The following is a 20394-nucleotide window of genomic DNA, read 5'->3' on the forward strand; positions in this document are numbered from 1 at the left end:
AAGTGCTGAGATTACAGGCATGAGCCACTGTGCCTGGCCCTGAGCTTAAAATAAAAGTTAAATTAAAAAAAAAATAATGTTGATGTTTTCATTTTTGCAATCAATAGCTTAGTTAGACTCAAATTGCAAACTGTCATTGCCTGTAGTAGGCAGTGGCATAGAACTCAATTCAGCTCTTTTAACCTGAGTTTTAAGCTGCTTTCAGATTGCCCCACACATACATGGTTCAGGAGTCAGCCAGAGACTTGGGCTGAGTTTAAACATAGAATCTGGGGTTGTCCTCTTCTGGCTGTCTTCTTTCTTGGGCATCTGCATCATTCTCTAGCACCTATGGTTTTTCCAGGCTCTTTCCCCCAGTTTCCTCCAGTCAGAAAGATGGCAAGAGTTTTTGCTGCCTGCCCTCCCCCAGTCCTTGTGCCAACACCACCACCATTGCAGCTGCCTCCAGGGAAAAACTGCAAAAACCAAATCACTTGCTCCAGGTGTTGACTCCTCTTCAAAATCTATTTTTGTTAAATCTCCAAAGCCTCAAATAGGTTTTCTTCCTAGAATTTATATCTGTTATTTGTAGCAGGATTGGTCTGTAAGGCACTCAGTCTTCTACATCATGGGTCAGCAGATTACAGCCCTTGGGTTAAATCCAGCCACCTGCTTGTTTTATTAATAAAGTTTTGTTGGAACTAAACCACACCTATTTTTCTGTGAGTGATTTCATGCTATAATGACAGAGTTGAGTAGTAGTTGTGACAAAGACCTTATACCTAGAAAGACTAAATAAAATACTATTTGGCCCTTTAGAGACAAATTTTGGTGAACTCTGCTCTGTATCAAGAGAACTCACCTAATATTTTGACCTCTGATCCAGTGATCTGATTCTCTTCCAGCTGCCCACAGGCACAATAACATCATGTTCTAGAACATCATCTGGAATTGCGTCACTGTAGAGCACTTCTGTCTCAGGAGAAGCATTATCTCTTCTTTTTATATGCTTATACCACTTACTTCATCTCCTATTGCATCATGAAATCTGAATCTCTCTTAGCATCCTCATTTCTTTTTCTCTACTGACTCATTCCATTCAACATACAGATAAACCCAGATTGAATATATATTTCTAAAAACTCTTACTTTGACATTTATATCCCCTCAAGCTACCTGTAGTTTTTCTGTTTTTCTGTGTAACTTCTCATTAGGGTTATCTACTCTTAATACTGACACTTCCTCACCACAAGTTCATACCAATCTTTACAATTCTGCATTTTCTTCCAATATGCATTTGAAATTTATTTATTTCAGCTGGTGACAGCTGAAACATCTATCCAAATTGCCTCTTCAGATTATCTTTCTTCATTTTTCTGTAAAATGCAAGATATTGACCATGGTCTGCTGGAAGCTTTCCTTCTGTGATTTCCATGTCATTTTTATCTTTTTATATTTTTTCTGTGTCTATCAAGCTCTTCCCATTGCTGGCTCCTCTTTTCCACCTATCTCTGAAATATGGCATTTCTCAAGATTTTTCTCTGGCCTTATCTTCTTTCCCTATTAGAAATTTTCATCTACTTTAGTTGTTCCAGATATTCTTTTTATGCTAATGACTCAAATCCAAAATATATACGAGCTTTAAAGTTATATACACTTTAAACTCTAGTTCTGCCTCTTACTAATTGTGACCTTAGGCAAATTGTGTGGCCAAGATCTTTAGGACTCAGTTTGGGTAAAATAATAATGCCTTATCTCATAAGCTTGCTTATCATATTGGCAACCAGGGCAGCCCTGGTTGCCCCCAGTGGTAAGCTGTTTACTAATATACCCCGTATTTACTTTTATCTAGTTCTACCCCAGTGGTAAGCTGTTTACTAATATACCAGTATTTTCTTTCTGTCTCACTTCCCTATTCCCTTACTTGTGCTCCTGAAATCGCTTTCCAAATAGATTATTTACACTCACATCAAAGTCAGCTTCTCGGAGTAGCCCATTCTAACACATGGACCCCAAACAGAACTTGGATCTTGAATTAAAGAACAGTCTTTTTGCAGACTTTCATATGGTTATTAACCACTTTTTTCAAGTTTTAGAATTTATGTTAAAGTTAGGGCATTTTATTATAGTAAGAGGAACATGTTACCAATTTATTAAAACCACACTACTACTGTTTGTTTTTTTTCACTGTTTTGTTTATAAATACTACTCTGCTGCCCAGAGTCCTGTGCCTGCCTGTCATGCTGTAAGCCTACACTGACAGTTTGAAAATCTTGGCTATGATTTAAAAATTTTTAGCTGATAATGATTTAAAGTATTTCCTTCTATTCTCAGAGAAAATGCATATTCTCCTGGCTTGAAGACCTTTAAGGCACAAATAAATTGATCTCCAATGGCAAATTCTCTGTCTGTCCTATGGGAAGGTGGTAGAATGATTTGCTCTGGAAAGGCCTTTCTTGTACTGTCAGATTTCGTCATGTTGGGTATAAGGCTGAGTCTGACCTTTTGTTATTTATTGCTGTAAATGATTTTATGTTCACTTTCTTGCAAGTGAATTGCTTGAGTTAGAAGTTGAGGTTCTTGACACAACTTTTAATCCATTAAAAAAAGTTAAATTCATGTATAGAGGAACTGAAATAATTATGTTGTAGCTCCTTATCTTTTTTATGATACACCTATTGCTGTGGGTATAGTGCTCTAAAAACATCTGCTCAGTAGTCTGCTATAGAGGCACAAGAATGCTTTTACATGAATGCAATAAAGTAGCAGATGTTTCTTAATGACAACTTCTCAATTCATTTAGGAAACAAGTCAGTTCTGGAGTTGTTTTTTTTTTTTTCTTTCCCAAGTGTGTCAACTATGCAGGCTAATGATTCCAAAGAGGTTAGAACTGACAAATCAAGTCACTACGTATAATTTTTCAGGGTGCTGCAAGTTAGGCTAAAAGTCTCATTTAATAGCACTTTAATAAAATTAGCATTTTTCTTCCCATGCAAATAATTCTTTGCCATTATAAGTAACCAGGAAAATACATTAATTCAGTATTACCAGCCTAAGCTTCTTTTATTTTCTTCTTTGGAAACTTCTGTTGAATGTTGATTTATCATTAACATTGCAAATAGAAAAAGTAGTCCAATGCCCAGGCTTGGGAACAGGGAGACATGAGGGTCCAGCATTTGGAAGTCAAACATAGCTCCTTCCAGGAATAATTTCTGTCACCTCAGAGAAAGCGATCGTGAGGCACTGGTGATATCCATATCCCCCTTCACACAGTCGTCCACAGGGCTGGCCTTTCCTCAGTACAGTAGGCAATTACCCACAGGCTGTGTTCCAAAGGGTGCCAGAGAAGCCATTGTCACTGCCCCACAGACTGCAGGCTCTGTAACAGAAACTGCATGATCAGTGACTCATTAAGATTTCCATGTTCAGAGAACCTCTTCCTAAAAGCCAAAGAATCTTAGTAGGATTAATATATCCAGATTGTAACATTTAGTATTGGTAAGTTCATCAGGTGGCCTGTGAATTTCAGATCAGAGGGCTGGATTTAAGAGCTTTGTGCTGAAAGAGGAGAGCAAGGCCATGAAAAGCAAGATGTGGAAGATGCCAAGGATCAATTTTGCCTTCATAATTTTGTTTAATAATGGTCTTGGTCACCAGCATAGAGTCTTTAAAGTGAATGCATGCCCCCAGAGGGCTTGCAAAACAATCCATTGAGATGTGAGAAATAACATTACAACTATAATTTATATTTACTTTGATTTTGTGAAAGTTAGGCTCTACTAATATTTAACTTTTTGAAAATTTTAATATAATTTTTATTTTAAGAGAGATGAGGTCCTGCTATATTGCCTAGGCTGGTCTTGAACTCCTGGCTTTAAGCAATCTTCCCTCCTCAGACTCCCAAAGTGCTGGTATTACAGACATGAGTCACTGTGCCCAGCTACTACTAATATTTAAATGTGGATTGATGCTGGCATTGCCACTCTATGCATTTATCAGATAACCAGATGCCATAGAGGTTAATTATGCAAGGCATCTGGGACCTAGACGATAGGAAGGAGCTATCAGTGATGTTTTCACTCCTTTCATTGCATGTTATGCATTGCAGTTTACCTGTGCCCTGGATATCTGGGATGATATTATTCAATTTTAGTTAACATAGCTCTTACTTTTCAGACTAAGGGCTTTAAAAGTTTCCTGCAAAGAATCCCTGGAACAAAAAAAAAAAAAAAATGGTAAAAGGTAAAAACAACAGTCTAATCAGATCTTTCAAAAATTGGCTCTCCAAATTTAAAATTAAGATTATTTGAAATATGGATTTATATTTGCTATTATTAATGATGACCCTTAACCTGTGTGTATGTTGTACCTAATGACAGTATGAAGCAATCATTGACTAACGACTCATTGAAAGGCATCCAGAACTTGAATAAAACCTCTTACAGCTAGAGAAGGGGATTGAAATATGAGATCATGATTTACTAAGTACACCCAGTGATATACTTCCTCTTTATGGATCTGTAGATCTTTCTCATCTGTTGCAGCCATTAAAATCACCTATCAAAACAATGTAAAAAGACCTGAACCCAGATGTTTGAAATGCCATATTACAGTCAAGATTTAAAACACACAAAGAAGAACAAAAAATTACATATTCAATCAAATTGCTCTCATCAAAATACTACTGGCAAGAAAATGTCTGCACCATTACTAAATAAAATAAGTTTAGTTTTCTGTAGCATTTTATTTTCTGAATAGATTTACATATTTGGAACCCAGGGCTCTTTGACTTGGTGCAGATTAGGACAGGGTTCTTTATGAAGAGAAAGGAAATTACCTCTGGCTCTTTAGAGTCTACTTTGAATTAAGGCTGCCGCCCCAGGACTACTGAGCATATGGGATCTAGACATTTGATTTTTGGGTGTCTGATCATCCACGACTGTGAGCAGGACTGGCTGGCTGCTCAGCAGCACTGACTCTGAAGCGTGGAGTCCTGGGAAAACCAGGTAACAGTGTGCTCATTTGCCTGCTATTTACATCTGTCACATTTTGAGGTGCTAACTTTTCAATGGGCACCTTAAAATCAACATTTCTGCAACTTTATTCAATCACAACCACTGGCGCAGAAATCTAAGAGCCAAATAGGCAAGAAGCTCAATGAAGGGTGAGGGTAGAGGGCCAGCCAAGGCCTTTTGGTGCCTGAGCAAAGAGCTGGGTAGGAGGGCTACTTTCATTAGTACCCAGATCATCACCCAACTAAAAGAATGACCTTGAAATATTTTTCCTTCACCTTTGTCTTATCCTTAAAATTTTTATATTTTAGTGTATTTTATAATATACAAAATATATCATATAGAAATACATATTCATAATTGATCAAGAGGTAAATATACACATATTAGGGTTGAGTGCTTAACTTTTTTGACTCCTAGTGTCATGATAAAAAAAGTTTAGAGATCTCTGATTTATAGGATGAAAATGGCAACAGACAATTTATACTCATTCCACTTATTTATTTCACTTAACAAATATTGATTGAATGTCTACTATTTGCCAGGTACAGTTCAGGATGCTTGGAATACGTAAGTGAATAAGACAGGCAAAAGCCCTGCCTTCACTCACATTCAAAGGGATATGTGTGCTGTAATAGAAGCCTTTCCAAGTCTGCCAACTGGATAAGGCCTCAAGATGTATTCTTATATTCTTATAGCACTTGCAACATTATACTCAAATAATTGTTTATGCAATGTTTTTTTCTCCCACGCTCTCTGTAGTTATAAGTTCCTTGAGAGCAAACACCATATCTGTTTGCCAACAAATCTCCAGTGCTGGCACCATGCCTAGCTCATAGTAGATGCTCAGTGAACGTTAGTTAGTTGAATGTATATGTGTGCTGTCCATGCATATACAAGTGGGCACACATGTATAAGTGAGTTATTTGTAAAGCTGAGAAAAAAACTTGTGGGGCATTCTCAAGCAGAAACTATTGCTGGGGGCAACAGAAAGTGTAGGCAGACACTTTTTAGTGGGCTGCAGCAAGAGTTTATCGGGAAGAAGCTTGGATAATCAGAGGTGACAGGGGTGACAGATTCTAAGTGATTAGGCAATCTGGTAAACTTGGACAAAAACAGTTCCTGAAAATCTATCTGGGTGGGTGTTGTGATCATTGAACTAAAATAAGCCTTGGTTAAGGGTGATTAGGATACTAAAATGATCAGTGCTACATAAAACTGGTTTACACTTGAATGAAGCTGAAAAAGAAAAATTAAAATCTCACAAACAAAATTCATAGATTTGGAGGTAAAATTTTATGTACTTGGGGACTCTGTGCATTTTCTCTAATAGTATTTGTTGTAATTATAATTTTATAGCTCTTTGTGTGATTATTTTTTAATGTATTTCCTTATATTAGGACATAATATCTATTATTGTTATCTCTTCTATTCCCAGGCCCCAGGACAGTGTCTAGAGCAGACGATGGCAACTGTGGCCTGCTGCCTATTTTTTTTTTTTTTTTCTCTTTAGAGACAGGGTGTCACTCTGTTACCCAGGCTGGAGTGCAGTGTGCAACCTTGAACTCCTGGGCTCAAGCAATCCTCCTGCCTCAGCCTCCCAAAGCGCTGGGATTGCAGACATGAGCCACAGCACCTAGCCTGCTGTGTATTTCTGTACAGCTCACAAGCTAAGAATGGTTTTTATATTTTTATATGGTTAAAAAAAGAATTTAAAAAGAATAATATTCTATGACATTAAAATAATATGAAATTTAAATTTTAGTGTTCATTAATGATGCACTATTGGAACAAACCCACACTCATTAATTTACATATTATCTAGGCTGTTTTCATGCTGCAGTGGCAAAGTTGAGTGGTTTTGACAGAGACTTATGATGCCCAAAGCCTGAAATATTTACTATCTGGCTCTTTAAGAAAATGTTTGGACACCTTTGATCTAGAATATTTAGTGTATCCTATAACATTTTTTGAATGAATGTATGATTAATTAGTATACCTATGTGCCAGATATACACATTTTATACATTATCTCATTTAATCACAAGGGAAAGATGCCTTTATTTAACAAGTGAAGAAACTGAGGCATAGAGGGGTCAAATGACCTGTCCATTCCATGAGTGGCAGAGCCAGGGATTGAACCCACATCTAGCTCCAAATTCTGTGCTTTTTTATTTTTGCCTATATTATGCTTCTCTGAAGTCTATGTGTTTTTATCCGAGATTTTGAGTGTCTCCTTGAATCCCAATAGAAAGCTGAGAGCTTAATGTTGCTCTCATTACTGCTGAAATATTATAGTATTATTTAAAAGCAACAACCACATCTTTGTCCCAGCACAAGCATAGTGCCTGGCACGTCATAGATACTTGTGGAAATCTTAAAGGGATTCTCCTGGTAAAAACCAAGCAAAGAAACAAATAAATCCTTATTCATATCCATATAATCCAGAGACAGTTTTGAGCAAGGGAAGGAACTCATGGCTTACTGAAACAGTTCCTTGCTGATTCCTAGACATGCTGTTTCTTGTGCATGTGTGAGAGGGCCTGTGCTTTAGGATTCACAGTCCTCTAACATTCCTACAATGCTTGCCTCTTGGTCTGTTTATGAAGGCTTTATCATTTTCACTCTTTGGCAGAGAAATTTACTCAGTTCTGAATTTGAGTGTAGAAGTTTATTCATGTGCTGAAGGAACTTGCAGTTTATTCATCAAGACATTTAAAAATCTCACTTGTTTAAATTAGGGTAGTGCTATCTCTTACTTTAGAAAATGACTTTAGCCAAACTTCAGCCCATTGGATTTAATTATCATTGTCCTTTTAAGGCTCAGAATTTCTTAGACCCTTGGAAATGTAATGTAACATCCTAAGACAGGAAAAAAATGGAAAGGGGAAAGAGTTCACCAAATGGAGATACAAGTCCTTTAATAAAATTCTGTTTAGTGCTTGTAAAAATATAATAAAATGAAATTAAAGAAGGCCTTAAAATTAGGATTTTCAGGGGTAGGCAAACTAAGGTCTATGGACTACAGCTTGTTTTTGTAAATAAAATGTCACTGGAGTACAGCCACGTACCTTTGTTTACATGTTGCCAGTGGCTGCTTTCAGGCTGCAGCTGCAGAGACCTATGGCCCACACAGAAGCCTAAAATATTTACTACTTGGCCCTTTAGAAAAATGTTTGGAGATCTGTGGAACTAGAGATATAAGAAAAATTAGAGAAACTGGGCTTATTCAATATGGGGAACAAATAAATTTATTCATATTATATAAAAATAATGACTCTTTGTTCTTAATCTTCTGCAAGGATAAATCTAGTGGAAACTGATTTACTTTCTAGCAAGGTAACAAGGAAGAATTTTCTGGCTCTGGAGTTAAAACATAGACTGCCTTATAAGGCAAGTTTCACAGATTGGTGGTTACATGTGTGGTGCAAAATTTATTCCTTTTTGGCACTCCAAATTCCATTATTAAAGATTCCTTTTGATTAGGGTTATCAGCCACAAATCTACTGTTGAATATAATAATTGATAAAGGAGTAACATATTAAGCCACTAATGGCCATTAATAGTTTAGCAAGAATTAACTAACCAATTAGAAGGAAAAGGACAAAATGAAGGAAATTTTTATATAGGAGAAGATGAAGGAATGGGGCAATAAACTGGGAGTGGGGGGTGATAAGCTGAGGTCTTAGGTTAATGGAAGTGCATTTAGGCTCCCTCCGAGAGGAGACCAAATGAAGTAACGGTGGTTCTCAAAACATAGATGAGCAGCTAGTGAAGGCAAACCGGTTTATGGCATAATTCTGGGTCTTGGTGAATGAGTTTCCTGACTTTATAATTCCATAGACTACAAAAGTAAAGAATCACAAAGTAGACCCTCCATGTGTATGTGAGGCAAGACCTGCATAGCATCACCAGGAACACTGCTTATAAGGTGAAGTCTTAAAACCCATCCCAGAACTCCTGGATTAGAATTTTGGGGGTGGAGGCCAGGAATACGTCTGTTTAACATTTCTCACCACCAAGAATCTGATGGTCTTTGCAGGCTAGAAAGAACCCTGGACTTGGAGCCTGAAGGCTTAGTTTTGTGCCCTGGCTCAGTTTCTTACTTGCTGGAGACCTTGGGCCTTCCTCCTAGAGCAGAGGAACAAATTACATGATGTACATCAATAGGCTTAGAAAAACTGTAAACTGTTAGAGTTGATGCTGGCCTTTCTTATGTCACATGTAAAGGGTAACACTGAAGAGAAACACACTTGACCGACTTCTGAAGCTTGATAATTTTTCAAGAGGTCAAAATTTTCCCCTCTTCCTCTAGTTTGTCATGTTTTACATAAAGAATTTCTGATTTTCAAATCCATTATTCTGCTAATTCTTTTACTTTTAGATGTATAGAAATAAGTGATAAGTGCGATTAAGCATTATTACTATTTCCTCCTGCCAAAGAACCTGTGTTTTGTAGCATGGACTCTAAGAGATAGCCTCTTCCACAGTTCCACCTTTTACTTGGCGTGTTTGCTGGCTTCCCAGCTCCAGGCACTAGCTGTCTTGCTGTTTCCTATGCAGTCTTAAAAGAAACAGGGTCTAGGAAGCACAGTGGAGCCAGCTGTAAACATCCAGAAAACTGCCAGATGTGCTGTGGCGGGTTTCTGCATCCCCTCCCTCCTGCCTCGCCCTTGAGCATGCCTGCCTGGAGAAGAGGTTTTAATCCTGCACAGGAAACAGATTCTTCCTCTCAGTGGGAACCCACGTTGGCCATGCTGTTGCTAATTCACTTTGGTTGATGTAGCAGGGAGAGTAAAGAATGGCACCTTTTTACCCCCTTTTAAAAAAAAATCAGTAGTAGTAGTGATAATATTACTGGGAAGGGGAGAGCCTCACTAAGATATTATCCTTGGGATCATCTTATAACCACCCTTTTTTGTTTCAGTGTTGCCTTGGATGCTGTTAGACATATGTTGAACCCGCTGATATGTACCATATACAACATTTACAGTTGCTAAAAGAATTACGTTGCTTGCAAAGGTTCTTGTGACAGTCACTTACTCAGAAGCCACAGGGATTGTGGAAAAAGTCATTCTGGGAATTAAGATAGTGAAAAGACCACTCCACTGTATGATAATGAGCCTTGAAACAAACAAAACAAGAGCTGATTACTTAAGGTCCCACAGATTATTTTTATAATTCACTTTAAACTTTTTAATATTAAAATTCTTTATTTCTTGAGGAATTGATTTTTCAGTGGTTTATCAGAAGGCTTCATCAGTCGTTATCACTTCTGAAAATATTAAATGGCTGTTGGCTCAGGAAAATCAGCAAATGAAGAGTATATTACATCGCATCTTTCCATTGTGATGAGATGGTTTCTGTGTCCAGTCTTCAGTACAGCTAAGGACTGTGGACTGTCTTTGAACCAGTGATGTTAGGTTTGAACTAAAGACCTGACTGGTAGAAAACAAACAAATCAACTATCTTTTCCTCAAGGGATGTTATGAATAAAGCTCATTACTTACGTTTGCTCAGTAATAGTAATACAGATTATTAGTGATAGAAGAAAAGTTTTTCTTCCTTCTCTGTAGGCTAAATAGAGATATGGATCTCATTTCCAAGGCCCAATACACTATTTGGGTTTGCTTTCAATAAAATAGCTGTGAAGTGTCTTCAGCATGATCCCTATTTAATGGGATTTAGTTGTAAAGCTTAATTCGTATCAGATTTTTTAAATGAGAGATCACTGTCAACTTATTGTTAATTGAATTCAATAAAATCAAGGTTTCTATAATTAATGTGAACCATTTAATCTTTTAGCTCTTGAATGAATGTAATTTTCTAAATACACATATCTTCATGAAATAGCAACATTTTGAGAAAAATCAATATATTGTGACTTCTTTTTTCAATTACTCTTAATATCAAATGAAATACAGCTGCCCCCCCGCCCCCCATCTCTGTGGGTTCCGTATCCATGGATTTAGACAACCAGGATCAAAACTGTAGTTAGGACTATAGTGGTTGCATCTGAACTGAGCATGTATAGACCTTTTTTCCTGCCATTATTCACTGAGCAATATAGTATAGCTGTTTACATAGCATTTACATTGTATTAAGTATGATAAGTAATATAGAGATGATTTAAAGTATGGGAGGATATGTGTAGATTATATGCAAATACTCTACCATTTTATATAAGAAACTTGAACGTCTGTGAATTTTGGTATCCTCAGGGTGGGGGGGTTCTGGAGCCAATCCCCCGTGTATACCTAGGGCTCACTGTATACCCAAATCCTTTAAAAGTCACATAATAAAAGAAAAATAATAAAAATATTAACTAACTCAAAGTGTTACGATTATGATGTTCAGAACATCAGTCCAAATAAAGCATAGTAACAGTTAAGTGGTATACTACAGTACAAAGAGCAGTGGTTTCAGTGTCAGTAGATAAGGGTTGTAGGCCTTCCTGTACCCCTAACTATATAGTCCCGCTTTATTGGTGTGGGAGATATTTCAGTGGATGCCTGAAACCATAGATAATACTGAGCCCTATATATACTATGTTTTTTCCTATACATAGCTGTGACAAAGTCTAATTTATAATGAGCACAGTAAGAGATTAACAGTTTCTTTTTGGCATATCCAAATTTCCAGTATCACTACCCTTGTGCCTTGGGGCTGTTATTACATAAAATAGGGGTTACTTGAACATAAGCACTGTGATACCACAACAGTAGATCTGAAGACCCAGATTGCTACTAAGTGACTAATGAGCTGGTAGTGTCTACAGCATGGATACTCTGGACAAAGGATGATTCACATCCCAGGAAGGTGGGATGGCAGGAGATTTCATCACACTACTCTGAATGGCGCACAATTTAAAATTTATTAGTTTTTTATTTCTGGATTTTTCACTTAATATTTTCAGACCATGGTTGATCATGGGTAATTGGAAACTGTAGAAAGTGAAACTCTGGATAAGTGGGAGCTAGGTGGCATTGGGTAAGGCACCAACAGGAAGTGTATTGTTGTTTGTATCTGCAAGATGAGCATGTTGGACTAGGTGGAGTGATTCAGGTTTCTTTCACTATTAGAATTCTCTTCATTCTGTGTTCTGTAACATGGTATCAGAAACTTTTTTATCTTAATTTTTTATTTTAAATACTTTAAAATACTCCTTAAAGTAGATAGAACAGTATAATGAACACCCAGGGACCCATCTAACAATCTCAGCCATCACCACTCCATGCCAGTCATGCTCCTTCTATACTTCCATCCACTTACCCCTCTCCTGTATTATTTTCAAACAAATCCCAGACATTAGACTCTCTTTATTAACATGATCCCTCTGTCATCTGTATTATTAGCACCATGAGGTCTTAAAAATTTTATTTAGTTTTTAACAAGCCTCAAATTGCCTCACTGTTTCTGTGCTTTCCATTTTTTTATTGAAATTTTTTGAGATAACCATAGGTTCACATTTAGTAATAAGAAATAACAATCCCATCTACCCTTTACCCAATATCCCCCAGTAGTAACTTCTTCTAAAACTATAGTATAATATCAGAACCAGGATGTTGACATTGATATAATCCACTGACCTTATTCAGATTTCCCCAGTTTTACTTGTACTCATTGTGTGTGTCTGTGTGTGTGTATTTGGTTCTGTACAGTTTTATCACATGTGTAGGCTTACATATCCACCACCATGGTCAAGATACAGAATAGTTCCATCACCACAAAGATATCTCATGTTGCCGTTTTATAACTAGCTCTCTGCCCTCCAGTCCCCCAACACTAATCTGCGGTTTTTGACTTCAAAAGTGTTGTCACTTCAAAAATGTTATATAAGTGGAATCATACGGTATATAACTTTTGGAGATTGACTTTTATCACTTAGCATAATTCCCTGGAGATTCATCCAGGTTGTTGTGTATCTCAATTGTTTGTTCCTTTTTATTCCTAAATAGTATGGTATGGATGTACCACAGTCTGTTTAACCATGACCTGTTGAAGGACACCTCATTGTTTCAATTTTTTGGCTATTCTGAATAAAGCTGCTATGAACATTCATGCACAGGTTTTTCAATGCTCTGGGATAAATCCTCGAGTGCAGTTGGTCGGTTGTGTGGTAATTATATGTTTACTTCTATGAGAAACTGTCATATGGTTTTCCAGAGAGGCTATACACTGTTTTATATTCCAACCAGCAATGTATGATCTAGTTTCTCTGTATCTTCACCAACATTTGGTGGTGTCCACTATTTTGTTTATTTTAGCCATTCTGACAGATGTTTAGTGATATCTCAGTATAGTTTTAATTTATATTTCCCTGATGGCTAAGGATATTGAATATCTTCTTTATGTGCTTATTTGCCATTGGTATATCCTCTTTGGTGATATTTTGCATCTTTACTCCTCCATTTACTTCTTTTTAGTTGTTAGGATGGTGTGAGATTGCTGGTAAATTACCTATGAAGTTTGTTATAACATACTTACATAGGAGGAAACAGATCTTCAGACTGAAATAGAAAATATTGCTTACTAGGGTTCTCAGCTCTGTACTAGAATCTCCAGGAATACAAAAATGAGTAAGACAAGAACCTTAGTCTTGAAGTTCTAAAACCATCTGGCACTTTTAACTGGAAAGAGAAGCAGAATATGTGTAGAAGTCTGAGATTTCCAAATTGCATGACTTCAAGGAATGATATTTTAATGGGCATCATAAAGGTGACCACAAATGATGGAAAGATGCTAGCAGACACAAACCAAGGATTCAAATTCATCTAATATGAGTAAAGCATGCAGAAATGTCACTGCATGTAGATGACTGCCCAGAGCAACACTGGGTGACATAGTAGCAGTCCTAATTAGAGGACAAATACCCCTGGCTTTCACAACCCACAAAGGCACTCAGCTGCCAGTGAGAACAGTGACTGGAGTGAGACTTCTAACAGGATTTTCAAGAAGCTTGTTCTGTCCCCTCCCTCTTATTTCTTGAGCCTCCTACCTGTTCCAGAGAATATGGATCTATGCCTAATTGATCACCAGTTTCACATACCTGGTGTCAACCCCAGCACATTCCTGAGTGCTTAATTCGAGTTTGGGTGAAGGATATTTTTTCTAAAACTTGTATCTTAACTAGCAGCACTGGGTCTCAGGCAGTCTATTTCTGCACTTTTCTATAGAAATTAATGACCCAAATCCTTCGATTAAGTATGCACTTAAGAATTGCACAGTGATGGCCTAAGAAGAGAAATAGCTCAATAGAGAAGATTAGAGAATAAACACACACACACACACACACACACACACACACACACAGAGGTATGGTGACATTTAAAGTCAATGGAAGAAAGATGAACTATTGAAATCATCTAGGAAAATTTCTTACCTCACACTATATACAAAACAAAAATCAGTTGGATTAATGATCTAAATTTTAATTTTAAAACGTGTATATAGTAAAGAAATTTAACATCTTTATAATTTGTAAGACTGAGGTGGGGTACAGCAGGAAGCCTTCTGATGAAGACATGTAACTTAGAAGCTATAAACAGAAAATGTACAGATTTGACTACATAAAAGTAAAAAAAGAAAATCCTTTGTGATAAAAAAGTACAACAAATGGTTGAAAGAAAACAGAAAGTGTTTTTTATATATGTGTGTATATATGTATATATTTCACACATATCCTTGCACACCTATTTTTCTATGGTGCAGACATATATATTTATCTCTAATAGTTATTATTTCCGATGTACAAAGAGTTTATATAATTCAATAAGAAAAATGCAAATATTCAGAAAATAGGTAAAGAATAAAAACAAGCAAATCATGGGAGAATACAAATTACCAATAAACATATTGGTAAAGCTGCTCACCTTCACTAGTAAGTAACCAAGAAACTAGGAATTAAAACGATAAGAAATTGATACTTAAAAATTCATCAACAGGCAAAAATTAAAAACAATATTCAGTATTTATTGGATATAGGAAAAGAGCATTCTCAGACATTTTTGCTGGGAATATAAATTGATACAGCCTTTTTCTGAGGATGGAATTTTTGAGATTCAGCATCTCTTGAAATTTAAAATGCTCATATCCTTTGATACAGTGATTCCACCCTTAGGAATCTGCACCATAGAAAAAATAGAGGTATGCAAGGGTATATGTGCTGTGATATTCATTGCAGCCTTATTTGTAAGTAGCAGAAAACTATAATCAACCTAAAATATCTGGCAATATGGAAATGTTAAAAAAAAACACAACAGCAACTATGGTGTGGTCATGCAGTGAAATATAGAGAAGGCATTAAAAGGCACTAAATCTATAGCAGTGACTTGGCAGCACGTGGCAGGATGCCCACGAGTGAAAATATCCACTCTAGGAGCATATGTATGTATAGCAGGATTTAAGCAGGGGCGGGGGTGGGGAGGAGGTGTGTGTGTGTCTATGTGTGTATATGTATTTGTGTGCCAAAAATCAAAAAGTCTAAAAAAAATACACTCTGGCCTGTTAACGATGGTTACAAACCTGAGGTATAGGAGTGCTGAGATGAGGGGAATTTCATTTTTTCTTTTATGTACTTGTGCAATATTTGTAATTTTTACCACCAAGATAGAATTATTTTATAATATTAAGAAAGAAAGGAAATTATAAATGCTAAGCAACCCAATTATTGACCAAAAAGAAAGAATTTGGTTAAAAGAATTGATGTAATAGAAGGTACAGATACCTATGCCTAGTGAAAATTTAAAAAGAAAACAAAATAGAAAAATCTTTTTCTTGCTACTGTATTAATTTTCTGTATCTGGCATATTTATTTCCATGATTTCTTTCTGTTTATTTTATTATGTTTAATTGATGGTGTTTACTGGAGTTTAGTGAAAAATATTTTGTAAACATCTCCAGTTGTGATTTATCCATTGTAATATCTCCCCAGTGAACTGACTGTGAGTAGGGAATTACAGAATTATCTGTAAAGGAGATACAGATCTTGAAAGTAGTCTGGGGCTTTGCTTATCTCCACAGGAAACCTTATTTCATATTGATAAAGTATGAAATCTTTCCTTAGTTATTTCTGATTGTTCATTGTTGTTACTGTTTTAATGAGAGGTAGAAATGAGCTAAACCAACCTGCTTCATTCCTTCTAGTACTAATTTAATTTCAAAGGAAATTCTTCAACCCCAATAAATAAGTGAAAGTGGATGGAACCAGGGTCTGACTCAACATGTCCAATTAATTGCTTCTAAACAGTAAGGTACATTCTTTTAAAAGCCCCACACACAAAAATCAACCAGTAAAAAATGATCAGGTGAGAAGTGAGATGACTATCATCATCTCTGCTTACAAAACTCTGTTCAAGTTGACATTAATATTTGCCATCTACTCTATTATAAATCAAGATTTATTGTAGAAATATACCAAAGATAGCACAATAATGAAGAAAACAGAATCATCTCAGGTTTTGAAATATACCTAACAAATTCAACCTCTTGCAAAATAACTTTCTTATTCAAAATGGAACTGGGAATTGTTCAGCACACAATGAATCATCTTTTGGCAAGTACAATAGAATCTTTAGGGACATTTCACAGCCTCTTGTTCAATTGTTAGGATGTTTTTAGCTTTCACAGGTAGGGAAGAAGGTAGCTTATATAGCCATCATCTTGTTGCTAAAATTGTACAGTAAAGATTTTTCAGGCAATAGATCTTTTCAGATTTTTTTTTCCTTTTTCTTTATCCAGAGCCTCTTTGTGTCTCAAAAACAATCTGGAATTACTTAATGCTAATGTTTTCTGGTTTTACTATTTACCCAGGACTCAAATGTTAAACATTAATATGGGAAACTCCCTTTTCCTTGCCTCATAGCCTTATATTTATTTAACTGTTATTTTGTGAGAAGAAAATCTCCTCTTTTCCTCTCCATGTTAGTACTTTTCTTATTAAGAAACCCGTTTTCGTTTTGTTTTTGCTTTTTTTTAGGAGGCTTTCGAGCTACCCTTGGATGATTGTGAAGTGATTGAAACTGCAGCAGCGTCCGAAGTGATTAAATATGAGTATCATGTCTTATATTCCTGTAGCTACCAAGTGCCTGTACTTTACTTTAGGGCAAGCTTTTTAGGTAAGAACATGTCTGAAGCTAAAAGTAAATTTATAACATTTACATATAAAGCAAAAAGCATATTTGGAAAATTATTCTCCAGAGGAAAAAAAATAGAGTTAAAAATGAGAAAACTGTGGGTGAGGTAAGGTTTTACCACTAAATTTTCTCATGCTTCAGAAAGGGTATCAAGACTTCAGCGTGAATGATATCATCTCAGCCTTAAGTCTGATCTTCAGATTCTTGGCCTTTTGCCTGAAGTTGACTAAGCCCCCTGGCCCTTTTTCTTTTCTTTACTTTAAACAAGTAGGAACAACTTAAAGCTACAATGTTTATTTACTTCTAACTTTACAGTAAAAATTTATTTTAATCTCAGATGATCCAATTAACTCAGAAGCTCCTGTGCCTCCTTCCCCAAAAGCTAATAATTATTTTAAGAAATGTTTATCAATTAGCTTAAGCTGTATTTAAAAATAGCACTAACATTTCCTTCAGCCATCTATACATCTCCAATGCCTTAGCTTCCTGTGATGCTGTTACTCAACTCATTCCCCTGCCAAGAAGGTGGAATACCCTGTCTCCTTGGAGGCCTTAGCTAATAAAGCTTATTTAATCAGCAGCCACATGGCGTCCTCACTCTGCAGCACAGCCATGGCTTCCCGCTTAGAGTCCACTGCCTAAACCGGGTCAGCATTGGGATGTGCTGCCACCCAGGCCCAGGGACCAAGATGAGCCTCCTGTTCAGCCAACCCCTTGCCCTATTTCTCCTTTTGTATCTGGCCTTATCAGCAGCATTGTGCATTTTGAACAGCCTTCTGACTTTTTTCTGGATAGCTAAGACATCTGAATTTAGCCAATGATATTTTATTTTTAATTCAAAAGTAGCTTAAGCTGCTTGAATGTATGTTTGGTAGATTTAATCACTTGCTGTTATATTGTTTAATGGTCTCTAATTTTGCAGTGTTGGCAGTTTAACAAGCACTTAGGATTTAAAACACAAGAAGAAATTCTCATAGACTCCCTGGTGAGAAGATTTTAATCTGAGGTGCAGTTCCTAAGAACTGACAATTTGGGGTAAATTTTCAACATGGGACATGGGGAATGGAGGACACTGATAGTTCACTAATTCACAAACTCTTGCTGTGGATTTATCCATATAATTATTACAAGCCTTTAAAACACTCATTTTATGGTAATTATATTTGGTTTGGAGCCCAGAGGTTAAAGGAAGTTTCTTGTCAGTGAGCTGTGCTATACTAAAAAGTAGGAGATATATTTGTTTATTCAGGGGGAGGAAAATGTCTTTCTTGGTTCTGGTTTGCAATGGCTCTGCCTTCTAGATTCAGAGACAAGTCGAGGCTGCAGGTAGAGGAAATAAGACATTACTTCTTCAATACTGTACTTTCATATAATTAGTATTCACCATAAGCAGTTAATCACCAGAGAAGAGCTCCCAGAGACAAAACAAGTTGTTTAGCTTGTCAGCATTAGGGAATCAGAGGTGTTGAAACATGACTGCTTCTAGCTGGAAGTGGGTCTTGCCAAGGCCTGCTGATGAGCTCATATGTGTGCTTTGCTCTTATGTGCCAACAGCTCCCCTTACAGTACAGCACAGTAATTGTTCCTGCAAGTCCAATTATATTTTAATGACATTGGTGTAGTTTCTGTGATCCTTTCTTCACGATTTTCTATTCTTTTAAAAAAACACAATTAACATTCTTGGCTTCTATTTGTATACTTTTACAATGCCCTCCATTTATGCCTTATAAAGGTAAACCAAAACAAGTCATTTGTTTTTATGTAGAAGCATTCGCCCCCCACCACCACTGCTTTGTGTTGTGTAGAGTGGGTATTAGGAATTTAAAATTTTATTTTGGCCCAGAATTCATTTAGTGCTTGTTCAGGTACATTAAAATATCAAATTTAATTTTTGTGCAGCATACTGAATGTTTTCTGGTGGAGAAACATGAAGAATGGTTCTTTCTTTCCTTTATCATATTCTAATAATTTATTTTTTCTTTCCACCTAACTTAACCTCATGGATATTTTTAAAATGTATCAACCTTTACTCTGGAGTCACAATTTTTCATTTATTCCCCCCCCAGTCTTTTTTATTCTCCTTACTTTTTCCTGTGATATCTGATTACTCTGGCCCTTCATCTGTTTGTTAAACAAATCTCTGTCAGTGTGGTGAAAGGATTCCTAATGTCTTCCTCTTATTCCAGGCCCGGATTTTTCTTTGTCTCATTCTAAGAGAGTTCCGACCTAGAAAGAGGATGACTGTAAAATTTCTTGCCCAGGGGTCTTTTTTTGTTGTTGTTGCTTCAAAAATAGTTCACTTAGCCTTGTTTTTGACAGATATTTATAATTTCTTTTGCATTTGATTGTTAGTACAAATTAATTTCTCTGCTTTGCTCTAAATTTTCTCCCTGTACCTATTTTTTTAAGGAAAAGCAAAACAAGTAATAAATAGTTTCCATTTAAATTTACATTACCCTTTCTTGTATCAACTTGTTTAGATTTCAGAAGAAATCTTTACTCTGGTTCTCGAAATGCAAATCCCTTAGACTTTGAATTCCTTTTCTTTATATGGTCCAGTTTCCACCAGGCCAATTACTAGTAGCCCAAGACTCAGTTAACATGCCATCTATTCTTGTCGCTCCCATGTCATGTCATGTCATATCATATCATATATTCTATTATATCACAATTTGTACTATAGCAGAAATATTTGTTTATATCTATAAAATGATATGCTGGAACATAGAGCTTCAAGATAAAAACAAGAGTGAAGGAAATTGATACTGAGTGCCTACAAAGTGAGAAGCTTTATTTATGGCTTTGTGTGTATACATGTATAAGATATATGTATGTATATATATGGCTTATTCAGCTGTGGCACAGCATCAAGTATTTGTTAAGTGAAACGATAAAGAAGAATTTCTAGTCATTTAAAAAATACAGCCCAAGAATGGAAACATTGTGATGGTGCCTACTTCAACTGCTATGCCAGGTTTTGAAAGAGGAAGTAATTCTGTTGTCTCCAGGAGACCTAAGACCCAAACCATCTATGTATCTTTACTCTTTAGTCTGATACTTTTCAGAGACTATAGGAGTAGTGGACTTAGAAAAATAGAACATCCTGAGGACTCAAAAGTGGGTATCCAAACTAGCTGAAGCAGCTGTTCCACTTCTATAAACACGTATTTTTATTTAATTCTTGAAGGCAGACAGCCAAGTTGAGACAGCATTCTGCTTCTGCCTCTCATTTCTACTACTTTGGTGTACAGGAGCTCAGTTACCAAGTG

At 36.3% G+C, this 20394-nt stretch overlaps 1 protein-coding gene across 14 annotated transcripts in view; it reads left to right on the forward strand.

Annotated features, from left to right (window-relative positions):
- Nucleotides 1-20394, forward strand: part of ATG10 (autophagy related 10) — a 284111-nt gene that overhangs the window by 175408 nt on the left and 88309 nt on the right. For all 14 annotated transcript variants that reach the window (XM_047417800.1, XM_047417803.1, NM_001131028.2 and 11 more), the window contains one exon: nt 16969-17107. In XM_047417800.1, coding sequence (XP_047273756.1) covers nt 16969-17107 — 139 coding nt within the window. The remainder of the gene's footprint in view (nt 1-16968; nt 17108-20394) is intronic.

The sequence above is a fragment of the Homo sapiens genome, chromosome 5 (assembly GCF_000001405.40).
Source record: "Homo sapiens chromosome 5, GRCh38.p14 Primary Assembly".
NCBI lineage: Eukaryota > Metazoa > Chordata > Mammalia > Primates > Hominidae > Homo > Homo sapiens.